The sequence below is a fragment of the Homo sapiens genome, chromosome 11, assembly GCF_000001405.40.
Source record: "Homo sapiens chromosome 11, GRCh38.p14 Primary Assembly".
Taxonomy (NCBI): Eukaryota; Metazoa; Chordata; class Mammalia; order Primates; family Hominidae; genus Homo; species Homo sapiens.
The window spans coordinates 123,085,457-123,112,738 of record NC_000011.10 but is presented as its reverse complement, the minus strand read 5'-3'; the positions used below and the strand labels follow the sequence as shown (position 1 = coordinate 123,112,738).

Here is a 27,282-nt window from a genome sequence, read left to right as displayed (position 1 = left end):
CCGTTTTGCCGTGATTTCAGATCCCCAGTGACAATAAGAGAATGTAAATAACTTGATACATTTCAGCTGCCTAGTTTTAAATATGAAATTGGCCTGCAGATGGCCGAGCACAGCGGCTCACGCCTGCGATCCCAGCACTTTGGGAGGCCGAGGTGGGGGGGCTCACCTGAGGTCAGGAGTTCGGGACCAGCCTAACCAACATAGTGAAACCCCATCTCTACTGAAAACACAAAATTAGCCAAGCGTGGTAGCGGGCACCTGTAATCCCAGCTACTTGGGAGGCTGAGGCAGGAGAATCACTTCAACCCTGGAGGCGGAGGTTGCCGTGAGCCGAGATCACACCACTGCACTCCAGCCTGGGCGACAAGAGCAAAACTCCGTCTCAAAAAAAAAAAAAAAAGAAAAAGAAAAAGAAAGAAAGAAATTGGCCTGAAGGCAAGATAGTGACCAAATGACCTTCTGTGGGCCTGCCCAAGCTTGAGATTCTACATTACATATAGTCAGAGCATTCCAGGGTTTCGTAATTTACTGGCCTAGAACAAAAACTAAACTTTAAGCTTGAAAGAGCCTTCAGAGTTATTTTGCCAATTCCTTAATCTCCCTGAAGCCATTGGGGCAGACGTGTTCCGTTCCTCGTTGCCTTTTCTTATTAACTATCTAGAGGCCATAGTTGACCACATCTGATGAATTGATTTGTTTCATAATAAATTCCACAATTAAAATAAGTTTTTTTCCGAGCCAGGGGCATCACTTGAGACCCAGAGTTCAAGACCAACCTGGCCAACATGGTGAAATACCGTCTCTAAAAAAATAAATAAGTCTTTTTTGGTCTTAGACAAACAAAGTAAACATCTGCTTCAGTTGGAATAAGTTAAAACAGTGATCTTAAGTTATTAAAGTAGTGTACGTTTCTATTTCCTGGGAAAAGTTCCTCTCAAATGCCTAACCGTATTTTCTAAGATTTTCATTTTTTCCATGGGCCTTTGAACATTCAATGCACGTGGTTGGAAATTTAGCACATAACCACAAATGGCAGCAAAGTGCTTATAAGCTTAAATCCAAAGTAGTCTGTCATTCTTTGTCCATTAGAATCCTTGTTACTAAGAATAACTACCTTAAAGGTGAGGCCTGGCTAATCCTCCCTAAGTAAATTCTGCCCCCTTGTGGATTAAAAGAGCAACAGAAAGGAAAGAAATGCTGTAGTTGGATGGGCCAGTTCTTTTCAGTTCTTTGAAAAAGCGCTTCAACAATCTTGAAAAGTCCCTTCAACAATCTTGAAAAGTCATGTTAATAATGGAACAAAACTATGGCCGGGCATGGTGGCTCACACCTGTAATCCCAGCACTTTGGGAGGCTGCGGTGGGCCGATCACCTGAGGTCAGGAGTTCCATGCCAGCCAGGCCAACACGGTGAAACTCCGTCTCTACTAAAAACACAAAAATGAGCTGGGTGTGGTGGTGTGCATCTGTAATCCCAGCTACTTGGAAGGCTGAGGCACTTGAACCCAGGAGGCAGAAGTTGCAGTGAGCCCAGATCGTGCCACTGCACTCCAGCTGAGGCACACACACACAAAAACCACACACACAATGGCACAAAACTAGACCTTTTGTATAAATTGTGTAAGCGCTCACTGATGGTGACAAAATACACCGACAGTATTTTACACTTGTATTTTATATTTCGCATCACATTCAACTAAGACAGGGCCTTGAATATACTGAGCACTCATAATTATTAGTAGTTCATAGAATATTATAGTTAGAAAAGACATTAAATATTGGGTTTAACATCCACATATAAGGACCCCTTTACAGCTACTCACACACTCTCATTTGAATGACTCCAGTAATGGAAAACTCACTAAACAGTAGAGCTCTTTCTCTTATCAGACAGCGCTGTTACAGAGTCAGTCAACATATTAAGCCCAAATGGCATAAGCCCTTTCCTTCCTTTCCCTCAACTTCTCCCTTTTCCCTCACTCCTTTTCCCCATCTTTCTCCTCCTCTAAAACTAACCCACAGACTGGGAAGGAAGTAGATGCTCAATATCCGGCCCCCCTTGACTGACGCCCGCAGCTCAGGTTGTCACCTTGGTCTTTGTACCAACACCATTTTTTTTTCTTTGAGAAGTTTCGGTCTGTTGCTCAGGCTGGAGTGCCGTGTTGTGATCTTGGCTCGCTACAGCCTGCACTTCCTGAGTTCCAGCAATTCTCCTGTCTAAGCCTCCCTAGTAGCTGGGATTACAAGCAGGAGTTACCACACCTGGCTAATTTTTTTTTTTTTTTTCTGACGGAGTCTCGCTCTGTCACCCAGGCTGGTGTGCAGTGACACAATCAGGGCTCATGGCAACTTCCACCTCTCGGGTTCAAGCGATTCTCCCATCTCAGCCTCCCAAGTAGCTGGAATTACAAGTGCCTGCCAACACGGCCGGCTAATTTTTGTGTTTTTAGTAGAGACGGGGTTTCACCATGTTGGGCAGGCTGGTCTCGAACTCCTGACCTTGTGATCTGCCCACCTCAGCCCCCCAAAGTGCTGGGATTACAGGCGTGAGCCATCGCATGGGCAACACCACTTATTTCAAGGACTCCAGGAAGAAATATCCCCTTTGGAGGGATGGAAGGAAATAACTAGGCACCATAATGATTCCGTAATTCTGACCAAAGGAACAAAATGCAGTAAACCTATTACTTGTTTTGTGGCCTTTTAAATGATGGAAGGTAGCTACAATGCTGCCCCTTGGTCTTCCATCTTCATAATTTGTTCACCTATAACTGCATTAGCTGTTCCTCATATATTTTTCTCACCCTATCATTTGCCGGTCATGACTCCCCGAATGCCCCTTTTTGTCAATGTCCTTCCCAGTTTTCAGCATCTAAAACTGAACACAGTTGCTCTGGATATGCTAGGTTGGCTAGTATAAAGTACAATGGAGATGTTACTCGGTGTTTGGAACATCGAACCTCTATAAATGCGGCCACATCATACTGGTGGTCAATAAATCTCTTGGTTCCCCATGTCCTCCAGGTCTTTCCCACCCTGGACTTGTGTCTCACTGAAACTTTAACATTTGCTTCCATTCAATTTCTTCTTGCTTTGGGTCAGAATCCCAGCCAGCAGGATAACTATGTACCTCAGGTGTGTCCAACCAGATTAGCTCTGCTACCTAGCTCTGTGCCATCCACATTTACAAACATGATCTCTGTGTTTCCAATCTGCCGGTTTCAAGGAAAAGACAATCATCTTCGGTGTGGGGAAGGAAAAATAATAAAAACTAGTGATGGAATATCGGCAGTGTGGCCTTAGCTGTGTGGTCATCCTCAGTCTTCTCTTCTCTAAAAGAGTTGATAACATTGGCTCTCACGGGCTCAGATCGATAACAAATGATAACATTTGAGTCACGGGTTCACATGAGATCATGCAGTTGAATCAGTTAATTGTTCATTGTTAAATTAATATCAGGTGTCAACGATCCTCTTTTGAAGGATTTGAAGGAGTAGGAGAGACTATCATCACCTTTGTATTCTTAACACCATCCTTGCCTGATAGGTGAAAAGCTCAGTGCAGTTTTTTAATGTGGATAAACACTTGCAAAGTTCCTACTGAGACAGTTTTTCACAGAGGGGAAGGGAGGCAACTCAACCATTTTTTTTCTTTCTTTCTTTTTTTTTTTTTTTTTTTTTGAGACAGAGTTTCACTCTTGTTGCCCAGGCTGGAGTACAATGGCGTGATCTTGGCTCACTGCAACCTCCGCCTCCTGGGTTTAAGCGATTCTCCTGCCTCAGCCTCCCAAGTAGCTGGGATTATAGGCATGCGCCATCACAACCTGCTAATTTTGTATTTTTAGTAGAGACAGGGTTTCTCCTTCTCCATGCTAGTCAGGCTGGTCTCGAACTCCCGACCTCAGGTGATCCGCCCGCCTCAGCCTCCCAAAGTGCTGGGATTACAGGCATGAGCCACCGCGCCCAGCCAAGTTGATCATTTTTAATCAGTTTGTGTTTAATCTGAAAACTTCTCCAACTATCTTCCATCAGTGTCAGGTTCTCCCTTTTCCTCATTCTCCTCCCTCCCACTCTCCTCCTTTTTCCTTCTCCCATCCCCCACTTCCCTTCCTCTTCCTTTCCTTTCCCTCACCTTCTCCCTTTTCCCTCATTCCCTTTCCCCATCCTTCTCCTCCCCTAAAACCAACCCACAGGCTGGGAAGGAGGTAGAAGCTCAATATCCGGCCCCCCTGACTGAAGCCCAAAGCTCAGGCTGTCACCTGGGTCCTTGTATCCACACCCCTAATATTAAGGACTCTAGGAACAAATATCCTCCTTGGAGGGGTGGGAGGAGATAACTAGGCACTGTATTGACTCCCAGATGTCTGAAATTCCACTGATAACTTGCAAGCTTCATTCCTTTGGCTTTAGGCTTTAAACTGTTTAAGTACCAAATATATGTTTGTATTTAAAAAGACAGTAAAATGTCAGGGATTTAGCAGCTCATAGTAAATATGGTCTTCTTCTTCTGAAGACTCTCATAAAAGGAGTGGACTGGAGAGGTTCTGGGGTTGGGCTGGGTGTGGGATTGGGAAAGCAAATGGCAGAGGAACTTCACTAGTTCGTGACAAGGGAGGCTAGGGGGAGCTGATCGGAGAGGACAGGTGGTGCCATTAGCTTCCAGGTGCTCCCTCCGTCTAGAATTCTTTTCCCTCCCTCTGTGTGGTAAAAACATGCCTGTCTCTCCAGAACTACCTCCATCCTTACTCACTGCAGTCTTCCTTAATTGCTCGTCAGGAATGACCTTCTCTACAATATTATCAATTTTCTTAGGTGTGCTAAGATGGCTGTTGTTGTGAGGAATAACATGCTTATTTTTAGGAGATGTGCACTGCAACATTTAGACTTAGTGTCATGCCATCCACAACTTGATTTCAACTGGTACAACAAAAAAAAAATAGGAGAGAGCACACAAAAGCGAGCAAATATAGCCAAATGCTAACAGTGATGAAGCAAAATGACTTCCAAACTTTTCACAATCCTGGTTTGTCCATGTGGTATGTTTTCTGGTTTTCCCTGTCTTTCAAAATGCAACACGGTGGTGGCCCATGCCTGTGATCCCAGCACTTTCAGAGGCCGAGGCGGGAGGACTGCTTGAGCTCAGGAGCCTGAGGCCAGCCTGGGCAACATAGTGAAACCCTGTTTCTGAAAAAAAAAAAAAAAAAAATTTAGGTCAGGTGCGGTGGCTCGCACCTGTAATCCCAGCACTTTGGGAGGCTGAAGTGGGAGGATCACCTGAGGTCAGGACTTTGAGACCAGCCTGGCCAACACGGTGAAAGCCCATCTCTACTAAAAATACGAAAATTTGCCAGATGTGGTGGCATGCGCCTATAATCCCAGCTATTCACAAGGCTGAGGCAGGAGAATCGCTTGAACCCAGGAGGCCGAGGTTTCGGTGAGCTGAGATCACGCCACTGCACTCCAGCCTGGGTGACAGAGTGAGACTCCGTCTAAATTAAAAAAAAAAAATTTCATTAGCCAGGCATGGTGGTGAAAGCCTATAGTCCCAGCTACTTGGGAGGCTGAGGTGGGAGGATCACTTGAGCCCAGGGAGTTCAGGCTGCAGTGAGTTATGATTGTGCCACTGCACTCCAGCCTGGCAGAAAGAGCATCTGAGACCCTGTCTCAAAAAAAAAAAATGCAGCAAGTACAATTATTATTATTATTATTTTTTTTTTTTTTTGAGACGGAGTCTCGCTCTGTCGCCCAGGCTGGAGTGCAGTGGCTCAATCCGGCTCACTGCAAGCTCCGCCTCCCGGGTTCACACCATTCTCCTGCCTCAGCCTCCCGAGTAGCTGGGACTACAGGCGCCCACCACCTCGCCGGGCTAATTTTTTGTATTTTTAGTAGAGACGGGGTTTCACTGTGTTAGCCAGGATGGTCTCGATCTCCTGACCTCGTGATCCGCCCACCTCGACCTCCCAACGTGCTGGGATTACAGGCGTGAGCCACTGCACCCAGCCACAAGTACAATTATTAATAGTAGTTGCCATTTGCTGAGTGTGTGCTACATACCATGCGCCAGTGCTAGACACTTTCATGCATCATATGTAATGCTTACAATAACTTCCAAAGTTGATGTTTTTATTTTCCTTTTACGGAAAAGTAAACAACTTGGAGCAATCAGGGAATTAATTGGTCTTACAGCCACTACTCAAGTCCAGACCTCTCAGACTCCAAAGCTCATCCTCTTTCTATTGCATCATGCTGTGTCTTGAACTGCATACAGTGTTCCATAAACAATCTGGAAGGCAGGCACGTGCGCGCGCGCGCGCGCACACACACACACACACACACACACACACACACACACACACACCTCCTACAGAATTATATATGTAGCTGGGGTGAAGGGAAAACTTCCCGTCTGCCCGCTGAAGGTTCATTGAAAAGCACTGACAAGAGGCAGATTAATAGGAGAAAAGGCATACAAATTTAATAAACTGTTCAAGAGTGTCCAATCTTTTTGCTTCCCTGAGCCACACTGGAAGAAGAAGAATTATCTTGGGCCACACATAAAATACACTAACAACAGCTGATGAGCTAAAAAAAAAAATAGAATAAAATCACAATAAAATCTCATAATAGCAGGGCATGGTGGCTCACAGCTGTAATTCCAGCACTTCAGAAGTCTGAGGTGGGTGGATCACTGAGGTCAGGAGTTCGAGACCAGCCTGGCCAACATGGTGAAACCCCGTCTCTACTAAAAATACAAAAATTAGCCAGGCGTGGTGGCGTGGGCCTGTAATCCCAGCTACTCGGGAGGCTGAGGCACAAGAATCGCTGGAACCCGGGAGGCGGAGGTTGCAGTGAGCTGAGATTGCGCTACTGTACTCCAGCCTGGGTGACAGAGCAAGATTGTCTCAAAAAAAAAAAAACAAAAAACAAACAAACAAAAACCACAGTTCCTCCTGCCCATCTCTTTGAAGGGGGTCTTAAGGTTCAGGAGAATCTATGAGAAAATGTAAATACGGCTTGGCACAGTGGCTCACACCTATAATCCCAGCACTTTGGGAGTCCAAGATAGGCAGATCACCTGAGGTCAGGAGTTTGAGACAAACCTGACAAACGTGGCAAAACCCTGTCTCTACTAAAAATACAAAATTAACCAGGTGTGGTGGCGCATGCCTGTAATCCCAGCTATTCACGTGGCTGAGGCAGGAGAATCGCTTGAACCCAGGAGGCGGAGGTTGTGGTGAGCCAAGATTGTGCCACTGCACTCCAGCCTGGGCGACAGAGCAAGACTCCATCTCAAAAAAAAAGAAAGAAAGAAAAGAAGAAAGAAAGAGAGAGAGAGGAAGGAAGGAAGGAAGGAAGGGAGGGAGGGAGGGAGGGAGGGAGGGAGGGAAGGGAAGGAAATAAATGTAAATACCTTTTAGAGGATAAAACTTTAAACTACTCTTAATTGAGTGTAGGCAGCAGTCATGTGAGAAAAAGTCCCTTCTAGCAGAGATGAGCAGGGGAAGAGAACTAACATTTTAATGGGAGACTCCTATGTGCTTTCACAATGCTAGCTGCTTTCCTCAGTGTCTTCTTTAATTCCCATTTTGCGGATGGAAACACTAAGGCTCAGAAGGTAATTTTCTCAAGCTCCCAGAGGTCCTTTGATAAGTGCCTGAGGTGCATGCAAAAGCTCCCACTTAGGGAGAGCTTGCGGCTTCCCTGAAGGCATTCTGCCTGTGCCTAAGGAGGCAGTCCTTACCACTGCCACCACTCAGCACCTCTTCCCATAGGTAAATGCTGCAACAGAATCCTAGCAGAGACTATTCCCTTACTTGCAATTCTGCCACTAATTAGTTTTGTGACGTGACATCTCAATTCTCTGGGGTGCAATCTCCTCATAAGTTAAACTGATGATCTCTAAAGTCTTTCCTAACAAAGATGAATCTTCCAGTGCCCACGCAATCCAAGGCTAGCCACAGGATGGTCAGACTGCCCCTTTCCTCTCACCCATCAGATGGCAGACAAGCTCAGCAGCCCCCATGAGCACTGCTAAGCCTTGGAGTTAAAGACAGAGGCCGGACGCGGTGGCTCACACCTGTAATCCCAGCACTTTGGGAGGCTGAGGCGGGTGGATCATAAGGGGTCAGGAATTCGAGACGAGCCTGGCCAACATGGTGAAACCCCGTCTCTACTAAAGATACAAAAAATTAGCTGAGCATGGTGGCGCCTGCCTGTAATCCCAGCTACTTGAAAGGCTGAGGCAGGAGAATCGTTTGAACCTGGGAGGCGGAGGTTACAGCGAGCTGAGATGACGCCATTGCATTCCAGCCTGAGCAACAGGGCGAGACTCCGTCTGGGGAAAAAAAAAATAGAACCCAGGACCGGGCGCGGTGGCTCATGCCTGTAATCCTAGACTTTGGGAGGCTGAGGCGGGCAGATCACTTGAGGCCAGGAGTTTGAGACCAGCCTGGTCAACATGGAGAAACCCCATCTCTACTAAAAAAAATAGCTCGGTGGGTGGTGCAACCCTGTAATCCCAGTTACTCATGAACCCGAGATCACAGCACTGCACTCCAGCCTGGGCTACAGAGGGAGAATCTGGATTAAAAAAAAAAAAAAAAAAAAAAAAAGCCAGGCATGGTGGCTCAGGCCTGTAATCCCAGCACTTTGGGAGGCCGAGGCGGGCTGATCACCTGAGGTCAGGAGTTTGAAACCAGCTTGGCCAACGCAGTGAAATCCCGTCTCTACTAAAAATACAAAAATTAGCCAGGCATGGTGGTGCATGCCTGTAATCCCCGCTACTCAGGAGGCTGAGGCACAACAATCACTTTAACCTGGGAGGCAGAGGTTGCAGTGAGCCGAGATTGCGCGACTGCACTCTAGCCTGGGCAACAGAGTGACACTCTGTCTCAAAAAAAAAAAAAAAGAGACAGAACCCAGGCCCCTCTCTGCTTAGGTGGGTTTAAAAAAGAAAAGAAAAAAAAGTACAGAAGACCCTTTGAGCAATGTAAAAAAATGTAAAAGCTTTAATGTAAAAAAAAAGAAAGAAAGAAAGAAAAAAAAAGGGACAGAAGGAGAAGGACCTTAGAAATCTGTAGAAATCTCAGTGGCCTCCTGGAGTCTAACGAACTGAAGTTCAAGGAAGACTAGAAGTGTATGCGCCCTGATCTCATGGCTCCCTGCCTTGATGAAGCCATTTGTATTCACAGAGGGGCTCCTCCCTGCACTGCTGTATTTAATTCTGGATATGGTATAAATAGGACTTGGCTGACTGTCAAAGCACACCACCCGCCACAATGTTCCAGTTTTTTGGGGACATCAGACGAATCTGAGCCTTTGATTCCCTCTAGTGGCTTAAATTGGCAACTTTCATAGCTGGCTCTTGGCATTTGTTATTGAATGTTTAAGTATCTATTGTATGCACTAAATTGGTGCTGGGTTCTCTAGCTCTGCCTGGAATGTAGGGCACTGGTTTCATTTGAGCATTTTTGTGTCCGGTGGAAAGTGATCAGGGTTAAGCCAGAGCTCCTTCTTACAAAGCTCCTTCTTAACAAAGCTTAGCTTAGTACAGTGCAAACCAGTGAATTTCCCAGCTATTCTAAAGCTGCTTTATAGTAATTCTGGGAGGATGGGTTATTATATGGGTTATTTCTGCCGCTAAATGAGTTGTAGGACCTTGGGCTGTCTCTTTTACCCCTGGGTCTTAGTTTGCTCATTGGTAAAAATGAGCGTGTGGGTTACACTCAGATAAATTCAACAAATATTAATTGAACACCTGCAGTGTGAGACCCTGGGCTGAGTACTATGAGAAGGCAGCAATGAATGGTACTTGATGTCAAAGAGCTTACAGGATAATGGGAGAACCAGACATCCTGGAAGCCACATAAAATTGGGCAGGAGGAGGCTGGGCGTGGTAGCTCACACCTGTAATTCCAGCACTTTGGGAGGCTGAGGCGGGTGGATCACTTGAGGCCAAGAGTTCGAGACCAGCCTGACCAACATGGTGAAATCCTGTCTCTACTAAAAATACAAAAAAAAAAAAAAAAAAAAAGCTACTCGGGAGGCTGAGGCAGGAGAATCACTGGAACCTGGGAGGCGGAGGTTGCAGTGAGAGGAGATCGAGCCACTGCACTCCAGCCTGGGTGACAGAGCAAGACTATCTCAAAAAAAAAAAAAACCTGGCTGGGCACGGTGGCTGTCACCTGTAATCCCATCACTTTGGGAGGCCGAGGTGGGCGGATCACGAGGTCAGGAGATTGAGACCATCTTGGCCAACGTGGTGAAACCCTGTCTCTACTAAAAATACAAAAATTAGCTGGGTGTGGTGGCACATGCCTGTAGTCCCAGCTACTCAGGAGGCTGAGGCAGGAGAATCACTTGAACCGGGGAGTCGGAGGTTGCACTGAGCCAAGATTGTGCCACTGCACTCCAGCCTGGCGACAGAGAGACACTCCATCTCAAAAAAAAAAAAAAAAAAAACCTGGAAAGATAGCTCAAAGGGCCAATCTTAGGTTCTACAATAGTGTTATTTGCAGGAATAACTAGGGAAGTTGCATATCTTATTTTTTTTTTTTAGAGACAGGGTCTTACTCTGTCACCCATGCTGGAGTGCAGTGGTGCAATCATGGCTCACAACAGCCTCGACTTTCCAAGCTCAGGTGATCCTCCCACCTCAGCCCCCCAAGTAGCTGGGACTACAGGCTGGGCCGCCATGCCTGGCTAATTTTTGCATTTTTAGTGGAGATAGGGTTTGGCCATGTTGCCCAGGCTGGTCTCAAAACTCCTGGACTCAAGCAGTCCACCCACTCTGGCCTCCCAAAGTGCTGGGATTACAGGCATGAGCCACCGCACCCGGCCTGGAAGTTGCATATCTTATAACCTTGGAGTAATGGCTGACAATGGCTTATGCCTGTGCCTTACCAGGATTTAGTCTCTCCTTCCCAGCCTGATGGCCTCCCATTAGCTTTGCAAAAGCGGTTGAGTTTTGGGCAAGGCCTGTTATCATTTAAACTGTAACCTAAATGTCTTCCAAAGTTAGCTTGGCCCAATAGCCCAGGAATAATTAAGGGAAAGGGAAGATCCAGGGAGGGTTAGTTTAGCTTACTGTTATAATTTTCCCACTGATATAACACTTGCCAAGGCCGTTTCAGATGCCTCTGAGGGCTCCTCCCCAGCAGTCTCAGCCCAAGCAGCCTTGCTGCAGAATGAAGCACAATCTCCCCTGCTCCATTCTTCTTCATCTCATTTCCCTGAAAGCAAGAATACCGGAAGCCATTTTCCTTCCCACAGATTGGCTGCTAATCAATTTTGGTAAATAAACAGGGAATTAGAGAATTAGAAAATAAACAGGGAGGCCGGGTTTGGTGGCTCATGCCTGTAATCCCAGCACTTTGGGAGGCCGAGGCAGGCGGATCACCTGAGGTCAGAAGTTTGAGACCAGCCTGGCTAACATGGTGAAGCCCCGTCTCTATTAAAAATACAGAAAAATCAGCCGGTGTGGCACACGCCTATAATCCCAGCTACTCCAGAGACTGAGACAGGAGAATGCCTTGAACCCAGGAGGCAGAGGTCGCAGTGAGCTGAGATCGCGCCACTGCACTCCAGCCTGGGTGACAGAGCGAGACTCCATCTCAAAAGAAAAGAAAAAGGCTGTTTCATATTTTGAAACCATCTGACAGGAAACTACAGAGAATGGAAGATAGAACTTGGGGGGATACAAGAATAGGTGTCTCTAAGGGAGGCAGGAACTCCTTGTAAGAGCCCACTTGTTCCCCAAGGTATTTCTGCACTCACAGAGAGGTCGGGGGCAGGCGGTGGGGGAGGAGGGTAGTAACCTGTCTCTAGGAAGGCTCTAAGGAGCAACCTGGAACCCAGCCCGTGACCTGGTATTGAAGCCTGTTTTGGGGAGGATGCCAAGCCCTGACTTCCTGTCTCAGTGGGAGGAAAAAAAAAGTGTTTTTGGGAAAAAGCAGAGAAATTAAGGGACCTGAGACAGTTTAGCCCAGGCACAATGGATGGAACAGAAGTGTTTCCAAGAGCTTCATTTAGAGGCACAAGAGAAATGAAAAATAAAGAAATAAAGCAAAGCAGGGCTGTGACTTCCTCTAACACAACAACTGAGGGTGGACACTATTTGCAGAGCTGTGTGAGCATCAGCAGTGGAAAGGGAGGCGCCGCCTGGGGAAAGAACACAGGGATGCCTGTTGGACAGATGCCTGCATCACAATGGACTTGAATCTAAACTCAGTGCCTACCCTCCCCAGCTCACCCCCAAATAAAACACATCGTACTCCTGGCTTCCCCATCACTGCTACTGCGATCACCATCCTACCAGTCATGCAAGCTTGAAAACAATCTTTGGTTTTTTTTTTTTTTTCTGAGAGGGAGTCTCGCTCTGTCACCCAGGCTGGAGTGCAATGGTGCGATCTCGGCTCACTGCAACCTCTGCCTCCTGGGTTCAAGCGATTCTCCAGCCTCAGCCTCTGGAGTAGCTGGGATTACAGGCACCCACACACAGGCCCAGCTAAATGTTGTATTTTTAGTAGAGATGGGGTTTCACCATGTTGGCCATGGTTGGCCAGGCTGGTCTCAAACTCCTGACCTCAGTTGATCTGCCCTCCTCAGCCTCCCAAAGTGCTGGGATTACAGGCGTGAGCCACCGTGCCGGGCCCAGTCTTCGCTTTTGAATCCTTTTTCTTTCTCCTCTTAGATCCAGTCAGTTACTATATTCCGTAGTTTTGACTATCACATTACCTCGCAAATCCATCATTTGCTTTTTACTGCCTTCACCACTATCCTAGAGCAGTATCTCTTACTTGGAAAAATCTAATAGCATTTTCACAAATGTATGTCTCAATATTTCCCTTTTCCTGTGCATTCAACACACAACTCCTAAATTATCTCTTCCTTAAGCAAGAGATCATGTCACTGTGCTCACTGCGGCAAGAAAGGACTTTTATCCCATCAACTGCTTCACTTTTCCCGCATAATTTGTTTTATTTTTCCACATTTCTTCTTCACACCAGCCAAGCTGAACTATTACCATTCACTGAATATCTGCCCCCCACCGCCTCTCCCATCCTGTGCTTTTGATCCCATCATCTCCCCCAACATCTCAACACCTTTCCTCCTCCTCTATTCTATCCACATGAATTCCATTTTCCAAGCTCCATATCAAATGTCACCTTCTCCATAATAAAATAAATTGCCTTTTATTCAGAGCCACTCAGTGCTAAACACTATGCTAGATGATTTACATACTCTGTTTCTAATATTTACAAAACCCTGGAAGGATTTCAGCTTTTCCTGAACCCTATAATTAATTGCCTATAATTTCTCTCCTCTAAATTTGCATAGCCCTTTGATCATAAATAATTTCCCTTTATACTACAGTATTTGTGTAATTGTCTTTTCATCCTTCTAAATACATGCTACTGGTCAGCAACAACTGTTACTAGACTTAAAGAAAGTAAGAAGGTTCATCTCTAAGGTTTTCTCCAGCTTCAAATGACTATGACTCTATAACTTAAGAACATGAGTTTCTGGGCAACTTAGTGCAGTTTCCATGAGTATCATCTTCTTGGAAGCCTCTGCTAATAGAAGACAGAAAGATCAAAAACACAGTTGTTTCCAGGCACGGTGGCTCATGCCTGCAATTCTAGCACTTTGTGAGGCCAAGGTTGGAGAATCGCTTCAGCCCAGAAGTAACCTGGGACCTGGCATAATAACAGAGCAAGACCCTGTCTCTACAAAAAATTAGCCAGCACGGCCGGACGCGGTGGCTCACGCCTGCAATCCCAGCACTTTGGGAGGCTGAGGAGGGTGGATGGTGAGGTCAAGAGTTCAAGACTAGCCTGGCCAAGATGGTGAAACCCCGTCTCTACTAAAAAGTACAAAAATTACAGCGTGCCTGTAATCCCAGCTACTTGGGAGGCTGAGGCACGAGAATCGCTTGAACCTGGGGGACGGAGGTTGCAGTGAGCCGAGATCGCACCACTGCACTCCAGCCTGGGTGACAGAGCGAGACTCTATCTCAAAAAAAAAAAAAAAAAAAAAAATTAGCCAGGATGGTGGCATGTGCCTATAGTCTTAGCTTCTCTGGAGCCTGAGGTGGGAGGATCTCTTGAATTGGTGAGGTCGAGGGTGCAATGAGCCATGATTGCACCACTGAACTCCAGCCTGGTCATCAGAGAGACACTCAATCTCTCTAAAAACAAACAAACAAACAAACAGGCCGGGCACAGTGGCTCATGCTTATAATACCAGCACTTTGGGAGACCAAGGCGGGTGGATCACCTGAAGTTAGGAGTTCGAGACCAGCCTGGCCAACATGGTGAAACCCTGTCTCTACTAAAAATACAAAAATTAGCTGGGTGTGGTGGCATGCGCCTGTAGTTCCAGCTACTCACGAGGCTAAGGCAGGAGAATCACTTGAACTCAGGAGGCAGAGGTTGCAGTGAGCCGAGATCATGCCATTGCACTCCAGCCTGGGCGACAAGAGCAAAACTCCATCTCAAAAAAAAAAAGTTAACATGAGCAATTTCATTGTTCATAAAGACCAAGTAAGGTAAGAAAGACAGGCACTAGTAGGATGTAATTTGGGGTGGTTAAAGAAGATGTGATGAATTCAGTTAACGGAGGAGCCAGTGTGAGACCAGGACTTCTAGTACACCTGGTCTAGGACTCTTGCAACCCCTCCACATGCACTTGCCCACGGGAACATCCCATAATTCTTTGTTGTCATATTTGCTCCCCACACATTGCCATCCAGTCTCTGCATTACTCATTAAAGATTTTCCTCTTCCAGTTTCCTACTATGTTGGAACCTTGGGGACTCACACTGAGATCAAGAGAGTGGCAGAGGAAAAGGTCACTTTGCCCTGCCACCATCAACTGGGGCTTCCAGAAAAAGACACTCTGGATATTGAATGGCTGCTCACCGATAATGAAGGGAACCAAAAAGTGGTAAGTAGACACCTGGCTGGAGTCCCTCCTCCTTCTTGTCCTCCTGCATTTGCCTTTCTTCAGTCTTCCAGTCTTTCTTTCTGGCTCTGAAAGAGCTGGAGTTCCTTTTTCATCTGGCTTCTACTTGAAAGACTTTAGATACAAAACTATAGAGAAGAAAGAGTATTGCTGGGTGTGGTGGCTCACACCTATAATCTCAGCATTTTGGGAGGCCAAGGTGGGTGGATCACCTGAGGTCAGGAGTTCGAGACCAGCCTGGCCAACATGGTGAAACCTTGTCTCTACTAATAATAGCCGGGTGTGGTGGCCTATGCCTGTAAACCTAGCTACTTGGGAGGCTGAGGCAGGAGAATTGCTTAAACCCCAGAGGTGGAGGTTGCAGTGAGCTGAGATCATGCCACTGCACTCCAGCCTGGGTGACACAGCAAGACTCCATCTCAAAAAAAAAGAAAGAAAGAAAAATTAGCCAGATGTGGTGGCACATATCTGTAGTGTCAGCCACTTGGGAGGCTGAGGTGGGAGGATCACTTGAGCCCAGGAGTGCCAGGCTGCAGTGAGCTATGATCACACCTGTAAATAGCCACTGCACTTGAGCCTGGGCAATACAGCAAGACCCTGTCTCTAAATAAATAAGAAGTTGTCAGGCCGGGTGCAGTGACTCACACCTGCAATCCCAACACTTTGGGAGCCTGAGGGGGGTGAACTGCTTGAGCCCAGGAGTTCAAGACCAGCCTGGGCAACAAAGTGAGACTCCCTCTGTACCAAAAAAATTTTTTTAATTAGCCAGATGTGATGCCACATGCCCATAGTCCCAGCTTCTCACGAGGCTGAAGCAGGAGGATCGCTTGAGTGCAGGAGGATCGCCTGAGTGCAGAAGGATCGCTTGAGCCCAGGAGGTCAAGGCTGCAGTGAGCTGAGATCACACCACTGTACTCCAGCCTGGGCAACAGACCCAGACACTGTTTCTAAAAAAACAAAAACAAAACAAAAGCAAAAGAAAGAAAAAAGTTGTCCTTTCCTCTTCTCTGTCTACACCACTAATTTTATAACATGGTTTATGTTGGGAAGAGCTAAGGTTTTCACTGAAAACAGATTTCAGGATCACTATTATAGTGTAACTTGCTTAAATAGCTGTCTACATCACCTCATTATATTGATATTGCTTGTCATTTTGTTCTCATACAGCAACATCCTAAGATACTATCTGTTCTCTGTAGAGCGAGGTCACTTTAACCTGAGTAGGTTTATTGATTTATTTATTTTTTTATTTTGGGACAGAGTCTCACTTTGTTGTCCAGGCTGGAGTGCAATGGCTCAATCTTAGCTCACTGCAACCTCCACTCACAGGGTTCAAGCGATTCTCCCGCTTCAGCCTCTTGAGCAGCTGGGATTACAGACGTGCACCACCACGCCTGGCTGATTTTTGTTGTTGTTGTTGTTTGAGATGAAGTCTCACTCTGTCGCCCAGGCTGGAGTGCTGTGGTGCCATCTCAGCTCACTGCCACCTCCGCCTCCTGGGTTCAAGCGATTCTCATGCCTCCAACTCCTGAGTAGCTGGGATTACAGGCATCCACCACCACGCCCAGCTAATTTTTGTTTTTTTAGTAGAGATTGAGTGTCGCCATGCTGGTCTCGAACTCCTGACCTCAGGTGTTCGGCCTGCCTCGGCCTCCCAAAGTGCTGGGATTACAGGCGTGAGCCACTGTGCCAGACCTCTGAGTATGTTTATTTTAACAGCTTCTTGGTCAGCCTAGATTTGATACTCTCAGTTCTGAATGAAGTGATGTTCATGTTTATTACAGCCCATGTTCCTGTAATAAAAATCCAAGAATGACTCTGATAGATTCTCTTCTTTGATCACACTTGAGGCAGGTTCTTGCGGTCTTTCTGACTAGAGCTAATCTTGGACTTCCCTCTCTGCCCTCGTAGAATACATTTTGAGCAAGAATGCTGCTAAGTCAGGTTAGTGAAAATGCTCCACTCTTGGTATCTTATTACCCTATCCTGCCTACAATAATAATCCTATCAAGCAGGTTCAATCAGAAACCCCCTCATCTCTGATGTTCCCTCTTAGTAATTTCATGACCCTCACCCTGCTCCTTGGTTGTAAACTCCCCTTGTACTTGCTGGAATCAGAGTCAAGCCCAATCTCTGACTCACAGGTCTTCATACCTATTACCATGGCGCCTCTTGAATAGTCTGTTTTACTATCTTTAACAAGTTTTGGCCAGGTGCGGTGGCTCACACCTGTAATCCCAGCACTTTGGGAGGCCAAGGTGGGTGGATAACCTGAGGTTAGGAGTTCAAGATCAGGCTGGGCAACATGGTGAAACTCTGTCTCTACTAAAAATACAAAAAATAAGCCAAGCCTGGTGGCATCTGCCCGTAATCCCAGCTACTCAGGAGGCCAAGGCAGGAGAATAGCTTGGAGCTGAGATCGAGCCATTGCACTCCAGCCTGGGCAACAGAGCAAGACTGTCTCAAAAAAAAAAAAGTTTCACTGGATAATTTTCTCATTAGCAATTTCACACATCTAACTTTCACCCAAGTATTTTCATTTGAATTAAAGAAAAAAAGACTTGCTTGGTTATATAGCCAAGTGAATATAAGGATTAGGATGTTAATTATTGATTTCAAAAAGCCCTTGATATGGCTTTAAGCAGTCACAATTCCCTGCTTGTCTTCAGTTGATACTGTGAAGCAAGGATGTCCATTTATTCAATCATTCAGATTACACAAACTTATTTAGCACTTACTGTATGCCATGCTAGGTACCAGGATACAATAGTGAAGAAGACATCATAGTCCTTGCCTTCTTAGAGGTTATAGTGAGAAGACATTTAATAATTTTTTACAAAGAGCCTGGCACAGTGGCTAGTGTCTGCAATCTCAGCTACTCAGGAGGCTGAGGTGGGTAGATTGCTTGAACCCAGGAGTTTGAGACCAGCCTGGGTGACACAGTGAGATTCTATCTCTTAAATAATTTTTCTTTTAAGAAAGGAGGGGAAGGGGTAGTTAGAAAGGTAGGAACAAAGAAACCAATAAATATGCCAGGTGCAAATCTGTTTAGCACGTATTATCTCATGTTATTTAATATGTGCCAGTTGCAGTAGCTTGTGCCTGTAGTCCCAGCTACTCGGGAGGTTGAGGTGGGAGGACTACTTGAGGCCAGGAGTTCCAGATGGCCTGAGCAACAGAGTGAGAACTCCCATTTCTAAAACAATTTTTAAAATTTGTTAATGTAATACTGATAACTAGGATTAATGGGCCCATTTTACAAATAAGGAGCTGAGGTATGCCCACATGTGTGTAAACACACAAACATAGTGAACAAATTGCCTAAGGTCACCTAATTTGCATTTTCAAATTAGGCACCCTGGGCTGGGCCGGGCGGGCACAGTGGCTCATGCCTGTAATCCCAGCAGTTTGGGAGGCCCAGGCAGGAGGTCCACTTGAGCTCAGGAGTTCAAGACCAGCCTGGGCAACATGGTGAAACCCCACCTCTACTAAAATTACAAAAATTAGCTGGGCATGGTGGCGCAGGCCTATAATCTCAGCCACTTATGAGGCTAAGGTGGGAGAATGGCTGAGCATGGGAAGTCGAGGCTGCAGTGAGCAGAGATGGCGCCACTGCACTCCAGCCTGGGTGACAGGAGACCATTTCAAAACAACACAAATGAACAAAAAACAAATTAGGCACCCTGACCTCAGTGCCTGGTCTGAGAACCACTAGCTGTATTACCTTCATAAATAATGTGAAAGTGTAATATGTGCTATGTAGGCTGCTTCTCTGAGAAAACACCAAATGGCGGAAAAATCCTGATCTAAAACATCAAGAGAGATCTGCATCCATCTCCATTCAGAGCAGTTTTACGACTGCTCTGCAGGCGATGGCACAGCAGAATGACTGCCAGAAAGTTGAGCTGCTCCATCTGTTCTATATAAGTCCTAACAAATTGTTCCAGGTCCACCAGGAATGACAAACAGCCCCAAACCACTGAAATTCATATTTTTAATTTTTTTATTTGTTTGCAAAAGGACTAAATTGATGTTCATTTTTCTCCCATCACACCCTGATGAACTGCTTAGTCTCAACACTACACTTCTTAGGATAAAAAACAAAATAGGCTGGGCACAGTGGCTCACACCTGTAATCCTAGCACTTTGGGAGGCCCAAAGTATAATACTAGCACTTTGGGTGGGCAGATCATTTGAGGTCAAGAGTTTGAAACCAGCCTGCCCAACATGGTGAAACCCTCTCTCGACTAAAAACACAAAAAATTAGCCAGGCATGGTGGTAGGCACCTGTAATCCCAGCTACTTGGGAGACTGAGGCAGGAGAATTGCTTGAACCTGTGAGGCGGAGGTCACAGTGAGCCGAGATCGCACCACTGCACTCCAGTCTGGGTGACAGAGTGAGACTCCATCCCCACCCCGCAAAAAATAGTATCTTGCAATTGTATAATTTCACCTTTCCAAAGATGTCAGATGCTTGCCTGCATGTTATCCCTTTTTTCTTCATTAAATATTGAGACAGTCTTGGCCTGGGCAACACAGTGAGACCTGTCTCTTAAAAGTAGGTGTGTGATGGCCGGGCGTGGTGGTTCACACCTGTAATTCCAGCACTTTGGGAGGCTGAGGCCAGTGGATCACAAGGTCAGGAGTTTGAGACCAACCTGACCAACATGGTGAAACCCCGTCTCTACTAAAAATACAAAAATTAGCCAGGAGTGATGGCGGGTGCCTGTAGTCCCAGTTACTCAGGAGGCTGAGGCAGGAGAATCGCTTGAACCTGGGATGAGGAGGTTGCAGTGAGCAGAGATCATACCGCTGCACTCCAGCCTGGGCGACAGCATGAGACAACATCTCAAAAAAAAAAAAAAAAAAGTGTGTGTCAGGCCAGGCACAGTGGCTCACACCTGTAATCTCAGCACTTTGGGAGGCCGAGGTGGGCAGATCACGAGGTCAGGAGCTCAAGGGCAGCTTGACCAATATGGTGAAACCCCATCTCTACTAAAAATACAAAAAAATTAGCCGGGCATGGTGGCACACACATGTAGTTCCAGCTACTTGGGAGGCTGAGGCAGAAGAATCACTTGAACCCAGGAGGCGAAGGTTGCAGGGAGCTGAGATTGCATCACTGTACTCCAGCCTGGGCAAAAGAGAGAGTCTCTGTCTCAAAAAAGAAAAGAAAAATGTGGCCAGGCACAGTGGCTCACGCCTGTAATCCCAGCACTTTGGGAGGCCAAGGCGGGTGGATCACAAGGTCAAGAGTTCAAGACCAACCTGGCCAATATGGTGACACCCAGTCTCTACTAAAAATACAAAAATTAGCCGGGCGTGGTGGTGTGTGCCTGTAGTCCCAGCTACTCGAGAGGCTGAGGCAGAAGAATCGCTTGAACCCGGGAGGTGGAGGTTGCAGTGGGCCAAGATTGTGCCACTGCACTCCAACCTGGGCGACAGAGCTAGGCTCCGTCTCAAAAAGAAAAAAAAGTGTGTGTCTTTGTGTGTGTGTGTGTGTGTGTGGAGACAAGATTTTAGGGAAAGCGAGGAAAAGCAGATGGAGTCAGACCTACCTGAACGTACTGTGCACTATGGTAGCAGTATGCCCCAAACACCACAGGTTGAAGCAGGGAGTCACCATTCTAACTGGGGAGTCGAGAAAGGCTATATACAGAAAGTGGTCCTTGAGCTTGATCTTGAGGCCTTATATAGGTGTTGTTGAGGCAAAAATAGAAGAGGAAAAGGCATTTCAGAAAGAAAAAACTGTGTAATCAAAGCCGAGATCTATCAGAAGACACTATTCAGAATCAAGAAACATCAGGTTTGGGGACAACGAGATTCAGAGATGTGAGGGCAGGAGTCAAAAATGAGGCATGGTCCAGACTGCGCTGGCATAGGTGTAACCTTCAGAAGCCAAGCCTTCATCAGTGTGCACAGGTGATGGGAAACAGATTTTCAGCCAGGTGAGCTTTGCTACACAAACGTGTGGAATTGTAGCAGGCTGTTTCTCCCTAACAATCACACAGATGGGCCTGCATGACAGTCACACAGACAGGCCTGCACAGCACTCCAGTTACACAGACAAATTTCCACAGCACTGCCTTAACACTGAGCAAATAATTAAACCTAGGGAAATCGGTGCCCAGACATCAAAGCTAGAAATATAAACATATGGTCAGTAGGAGACGTGCATAGGCTTCTCCCTATCCTGGAGCAAGTCAAAATAACGGAGACAGTCTCACATTCCTAGTGCCAGGACCTGTCTTGGGTTGTCGAAATCTGAGACAGTCAAGGTAACAGAGGCAGTTGTTTGAATAGATTTATTGGAAAGTCTAAGCAGCTCTTCAGACCAAGCTGTACATGAGATAAGATAGGAATAATCACTCCGGATGGGCACGGTGGCTCATGCCTGTAATCCCAGCACTTTGGGAGACTGAGGTGGGCAGGTCGCTTAAGGTCAGGGGTTTGAGACCAGCTTGGCCAAACTGGTGAAACCCCATCTCTACTAAAACTACAAAAATTAGCTGGACGTGGTGGCATGCGCCTGTGGTCCCAGCTACACGGGAGGCTGAGGCAGGAGAATCGCTTGAACGCAGGAGGCAAAGGTTGCAGTGAGCCAAGATTGTGGCACTGCACTCCAGCCTGGGTGACAGAATGAAACTCTGTCTCAAAAAAGAAAGAAAGGAAACAAAGAAAGAGAGAGAGAGAGAAAGAAAGAAGGAAAAGAATCACTCCAGTACCACAGTAGATAGGCCTTGAAGATACTGGGACCCTCGCAGTTTAATCAGACTTAGCAAGCATTTTTTGGCCTCTGACCTTCTAGTTGAAACAAAATAGTTACTTATAGACTTAGGCAAATGCTATACTGCACATAGGCACATAACCACAACCTATATAAGCACTAAGAAAATTGTACACTTTTGAGTTGGTCTGGTGGAATTATCTTCAACCTTCTCCCTGTATCCAGTTACAGTGATAAATTCCCTTCTTTCCCAGTTTGTCTGCTTCTCGTTATTGGGCCATGAGAAAATGCAACCGGACCCAGCTCTTTCTGGGAACAGAATGATTAGTATTCTTTGCGTATTGGGCTGAACAATTTTTAAAACCTTAGGGGCCTTCTTGAACCCAGAACCAGGCTAATAAAAATGATAATGCTAACACTTGAGTGCTTACTATCTCATTCCCACAAAAACCCTATGAAGTAACGCAGCCCCCTTTTATAGTTCAGGATCTTAAGGCTTAGAAAGAATAAGTGATCAGAGACAGGCACACAGCTGTCAGTGGAGAGGCTTCCGTTTGGAGATCATTTGACTTCCCAGCCAGCAATCCCAATCACTGCGGCCTGGCACAGTGTTTTTTCTTTTTTTTTTTGAGACAGAGTCTCGCTCTGTTGCCAGGTTGGAGTGCAGTGACACAATCTCGGCTCACCGCAACCTCCACCTCCTGAGTACCTGGGAGTACAGGTGCATGCCACCACGCCCAGCTATTTTTTTTTTTTTTTTGTATTTTAGTGGAGATGGGGGTTTCGCAATGTTGGCCAGGCTGGTCTCAATCTCCTGACCTCGTGATCCACCCACCTTGGCCTCCCAAAGTGCTGAGATTAGAGGTGTAAGCCACCATGCCCAGCCTAGCGTTTTTTCAAAATCTGTATCACAACCAGTTAGTGGATCCTAAATGATAAGAAATTTTTTTTTTTTTCTTTGAGACAGAGTTTCACTCTTGTTGCCCAGGCTGGAGTGCAATGGCGTGATCTTGGATCACTGCAACCTCCGCCTCCCAGGTTCTCCTGCCTAAGCCTCCCGAGTAGCTGGGATTACAGGCATGCACCACCACGCCCAGCTAATTTTGTATTTTCAATAAAGATGGGTTTCTCCATGTTGGTCAAGCTGGTCTCGAACTCCCGACCTCGGGTGATCTGCCCGCCTTGGTCTCCCAAAATGCTGAGATTACAGGTGTGAGCCACCGCGCCCAGCCTTGTTTTGTTTCTTTTTCTTTTTCTTTTTTTTTTTTTTTTTGAGATGGAGACTCGCTCTGTCGCCCAGGCTGGAGTGCAGTGGTGCGATCTTGGCTCACTGCAAGCTCCGCCTCCTGGGTTCATGCCATTCTCCTGCCTCAGCCTCCCGAGTAGCTGGAACTACGGGCGCCCGCCACCACACCCAGCTAATATTTTGGCTAATTTTTTGTATTTTTAGTAGAGACGGGGTTTCACCGTGTTAGCCAGGATGGTCTTGATCTCCTGACCTTGTGATCCGCCCGCCTCGGCCTCCCAAAGTGCTGGGATTACAGGCATGAGCCACTGCACCTGGTCATTTTGTTTTCTTTTAACATAGACTAGACAATATCAGAGCATACTGCACATATACTCATGAAACTTATGTTTCAGTATATATGTGTATGCTGTGTCATGAAGAAAAATGTGTTTCTTTTTTTTTTGACTGAAGTGCAGTGGCATGATCTCGGCTCACTGCAAACTTCGTCTCCTGGGCTCAAGCAATTCTCCTGCCTCAGCCACCTGAGTAGCTGGGACTACAGGCATGCGCCACCATGCCCGGCTAATTTTTGTAATTTTAGTAGAGATGGGGTTTCACCACGTTGGCCAAGCTCGTCTGGAACTCCTGGCTTCAAGTGATCTGCCTGCCTTGGCCTCCCAAAGTGCTGGGATTACAGGCATGAGCCCCGGGCGAGAAAAATGTATTTCTTAATGTGAGTCTGTTGAAAACAGTTTGAAAGTGCTTGCTGTACTGTTCTAGCGTCCAAAGCAGCCTGACTCTACTTTGGACCACAGCTACTAAGATTCTTCAAATTCAAATATATATTTCAAGACGAAGGCATCTCTGGATGCTAACCCAAATACTAAAATAAACAAGCAGCTGGGCGCCATGGCTCACGCCTGGAATCCCAGCACTTTGGGAAGCTAAGGCGGGTGGATCACCTGAGGTCAGGAGTTCGAGACCAGCCTGACCAACATGGTAAAACCCCGTCTCTACTAAAAATACAAAATTAGCTGGTGTGGTGGTGAATGCCTGTAATCCCGGCTACTTGAGAGGCTGAGACAGGAGAATCGCTTGAACCCAGGAGGCGGAGGTTGCAATGAGTGGAGATTACGCCACTGCACTCCAGCCTGGGCAACAAGAGTGAAACTCCATCTCAAAAATAAATAAATAAAATAAACAAGAAAGAAATTCCAAAGCTCTCAGGCCAAAAAGGTCACCCACCTGTCAAAGCCCACAAAACCCCAAAGTTCCTAAAAATTACCCAGTGCTTCACTGTCTTGTAGGTTTTGCCTCTCTTCATTCTCCTAGAAAGTACAAACTGACTTCATTGTAGGTGATTATGCATCTGGGGGAAATATGGACAAATCAGAAAGAAAGAGAAACATTAACAGAGCACCTAGTAAGTGTTCCAAGCTTACCTGCCTTATCTCCAGGTGTAAGGCCCCCTTACTTTCAGTCTTTGAATGGAGACAAACTCTACAGCTTCCAGTTTTTTCCTGTTGTGAACGCATTTCCTTCTTTTCCAACTATCCCAGCAATTTTGCATTACTAAGTCAGCTCTATCACCTGCCAAGAAACCTACCCTTCCAGCTGGGCATGGTGGCTCACACCTGTAATCCCAGCACTTTGGGAGGCCGAGGCGGGCAGATCACCTGAAGTCAGGAGTTCGAGACCAGCCTGACCAACGTGGAGAAACCCCATCTCTTCTAAAAATACAAAATTAGCTGGGCCTGGTGGCACATGCCTGTAATCCCAGCTACTCAGGAGGCTGAGGCAGGAGAATCACTTGAACCCGGGAGGCGGAGGTTGTGGTGAGCCAAGATCATGCCATTGCACCCCAGCCTGGGCAAAAAGAGTGAAACTCCGTCTCAAAGAAAAAAAAAAAAGAAACAAAACGAAACCTACCCTACAGAGTACAACAGGATGTGGGGCCAACAACACCCTACAAACATTTTTCTGTTTTGTTTTGTCTTGTTTTGAGGCAGAGTCTCACTCTGTCCCTAGGCTGGAGTGCAGTGGCATGATCTTGGCTCACTGGAACCTCTGCCTCCTGGGTTCCAGCGATTCTTCTGCCTCAGCCTCTTTAGTAGCTGGGACTACAGGCATATGCCACCACACCCAGCTAATTTTTGTATTTTTAGTAGAGACAGGGTTTCACCATATTGGCCAGGATGGTCTCGATCTCTTGACCTCGTGATCCACCCGCCTCGGCATCCCAAAGTACTGGGATTACAGGCATGAGCCACTGCACCGAGCCGCAAATATTTATTTATTTCATTTTATTTTTTTGAGACAGAATCTTGTTATGTTGCCCAGGCTGGAGTGCAGTGGCATAATCTCCACTCACTGCAATCTCTGCCTCCCAGGTTCAAGTGATTCTGCTGCCTCAGCCTCCTGAGTAGCTGGGTTTACAGGCGCACACCACCACACCTAGTTTTTTCTTTCTTTCTTTTTTTTTTTGAGACGGAGTTTCGCTCTTGTTGCTCAGACTGCAGTGCAATGCCGTGATCTTGGCTCATTGCAACCTCCGCCTCCCGGGTTCAAGCAATTCTCCTGCCTCAGCCTCCCGAGTAGCTGGGATTATAGGCATGCGCCATCACGCCCGGCTAATTTTGTATTTTTAGTAGAGACGGGGTTTCACCATGTTGGTCAGGCTGGTCTTGAACTCCCAACCTCAGGTGATCTGCCCACCTCGGCCTCCCAAAGGACTGGGATTATAGGCGTGAGCCACCACGTCAGGCCACCTGTCTAATTTTTGTATTTTTTAGTAGAGACAGGGTTTCACCATGTTGGCCAGGCTGGTCTCAAACTCCTGACTTCAAGTGATCTGCTTGCCTTGGCGTCCCAAAATGCTGGGATTACAGTTGTGAGCCACCGCACCCAGTTACATTTTTTTCTTTTTTTAAATTTTATTTGTTGAGACAGGGTCTCACTCTGTCACCCAGGCTGGAGTACAGTGGCGCAGTCTTGGCTCACTATAGCCTCAACCTCCTGGGCTCAAGCAAACCACCAGCCTTGGTCTCCCAAAGTGCTTGGATTACAGGCGTGAACCACCACGCATCTGGCCCCCACAAATATTTAGAACAAACAAGTACCACATCCAGGAGAAGGGCTGTGATCCTAGCTCTTCCCCATCTGTGCCTAAAGCAGAGGGCTTTCCCTTGAGTGCTAGGAACCCCATGGAATTATCTGCAAAATAATATGTGAGTTTTTTCTGGGTCAGAGTTCATAGGTTTTATCTGATTGAGAGAACCTTCTCAGGAAAGGCTCTGAAGAGCTGTGGAGCAACACGTGATCAAAGGCAGGGTTGAGGGCTTGAGTGAAACAATTTGGAACAGCTGCAGCTGAAATGTGCCTGGGAGATGCCCATATGCTTGCATGCCTTTTTTAGTGCCCTTCTGTGTAGCTGGAATGCTCCCTCCAGGCCTTTTCTCCTTGCCTCTCAAAGCCTAGCTCAAATGCCACCAACTTGTCTGGGACACTCTCCTTGATACTATTTCAAATAAATCATTTCTTTTTCTCTGTTTAATAGTCTTTCCTTGTTAATCTCACTTGATTATAAATCACTTGAACCAAAGAAGAGATTTGCCAGGCGCAGTGGCTCACACCTGTAATCCCAGCACTTTGGGAAGCCGAGGAGGGTGGATCACCTGAGGTCAGGACTTTGAGACCAGCCTGGCCAGAATGGTGAAACCCCATCTCTACTAAAATAAAAAATTAGGGCCAGGCGCAGTGGCTCACACCTGTAATCCCAGCACTTTGGGAGGCTGAGGCAGGCAGATCATCTGAGGTCAGGAGTTCAAGACCAGCCTGGCCAACATGGAGAAACCCCAGCTCTACTAAAAATACAAAAATGAGCGAGTCATGGTGGCATGCATCTGTAATCCCAGCTACTCAGGAGACTGAGGCAGAAGAATTGCTTGAACCCAGGAGACAGAGGTTGCAGTGAGCCAGGATCGCACCATTGTACTCCAGACCGGGCGACAAGAGTGAGACTCTATCTCAAAAAAAAAACAAAAAAAAAAAAACATAAAAAATTAGTTCGGCTTAGTGAAATAGGGCAAAGGAAGCAATCAGATATGCATTTATCTCATGTGTGCAGAGGGGTAACTGTGAGTTCTGTCTGTCCTTTGTCCACAAGCAGTCACCTTGTGGGCAAATTGTGCAGGAGTACTGTAAGCTTTTTTTTTTTTTTTTTTTTTATCTTTGTAGCTATCTTATTTCTTATTCAGGAATAGAATGGAAGGCAGGCCAGGCGTGGTGGCTCATGTCTGTAATCCCAGCACTTTGGGAGGCCAAGGAGGGTGGATCACCTGAGGCCAAGAGTTCAAGACCAGCCTG

At 46.5% G+C, this 27,282-nt stretch overlaps 1 protein-coding gene across 1 annotated transcript in view; it reads left to right on the top strand.

The window, feature by feature from the left end:
• CLMP (CXADR like cell adhesion molecule) overlaps positions 1–27,282 on the top strand; it is a 125,377-nt gene that overhangs the window by 82,510 nt on the left and 15,585 nt on the right. Inside the window, exon 2 of the mRNA NM_024769.5 lies at positions 14,787–14,944. Within this exon, the coding sequence (NP_079045.1) occupies positions 14,787–14,944 (158 nt within the window). The remainder of the gene's footprint in view (positions 1–14,786; positions 14,945–27,282) is intronic.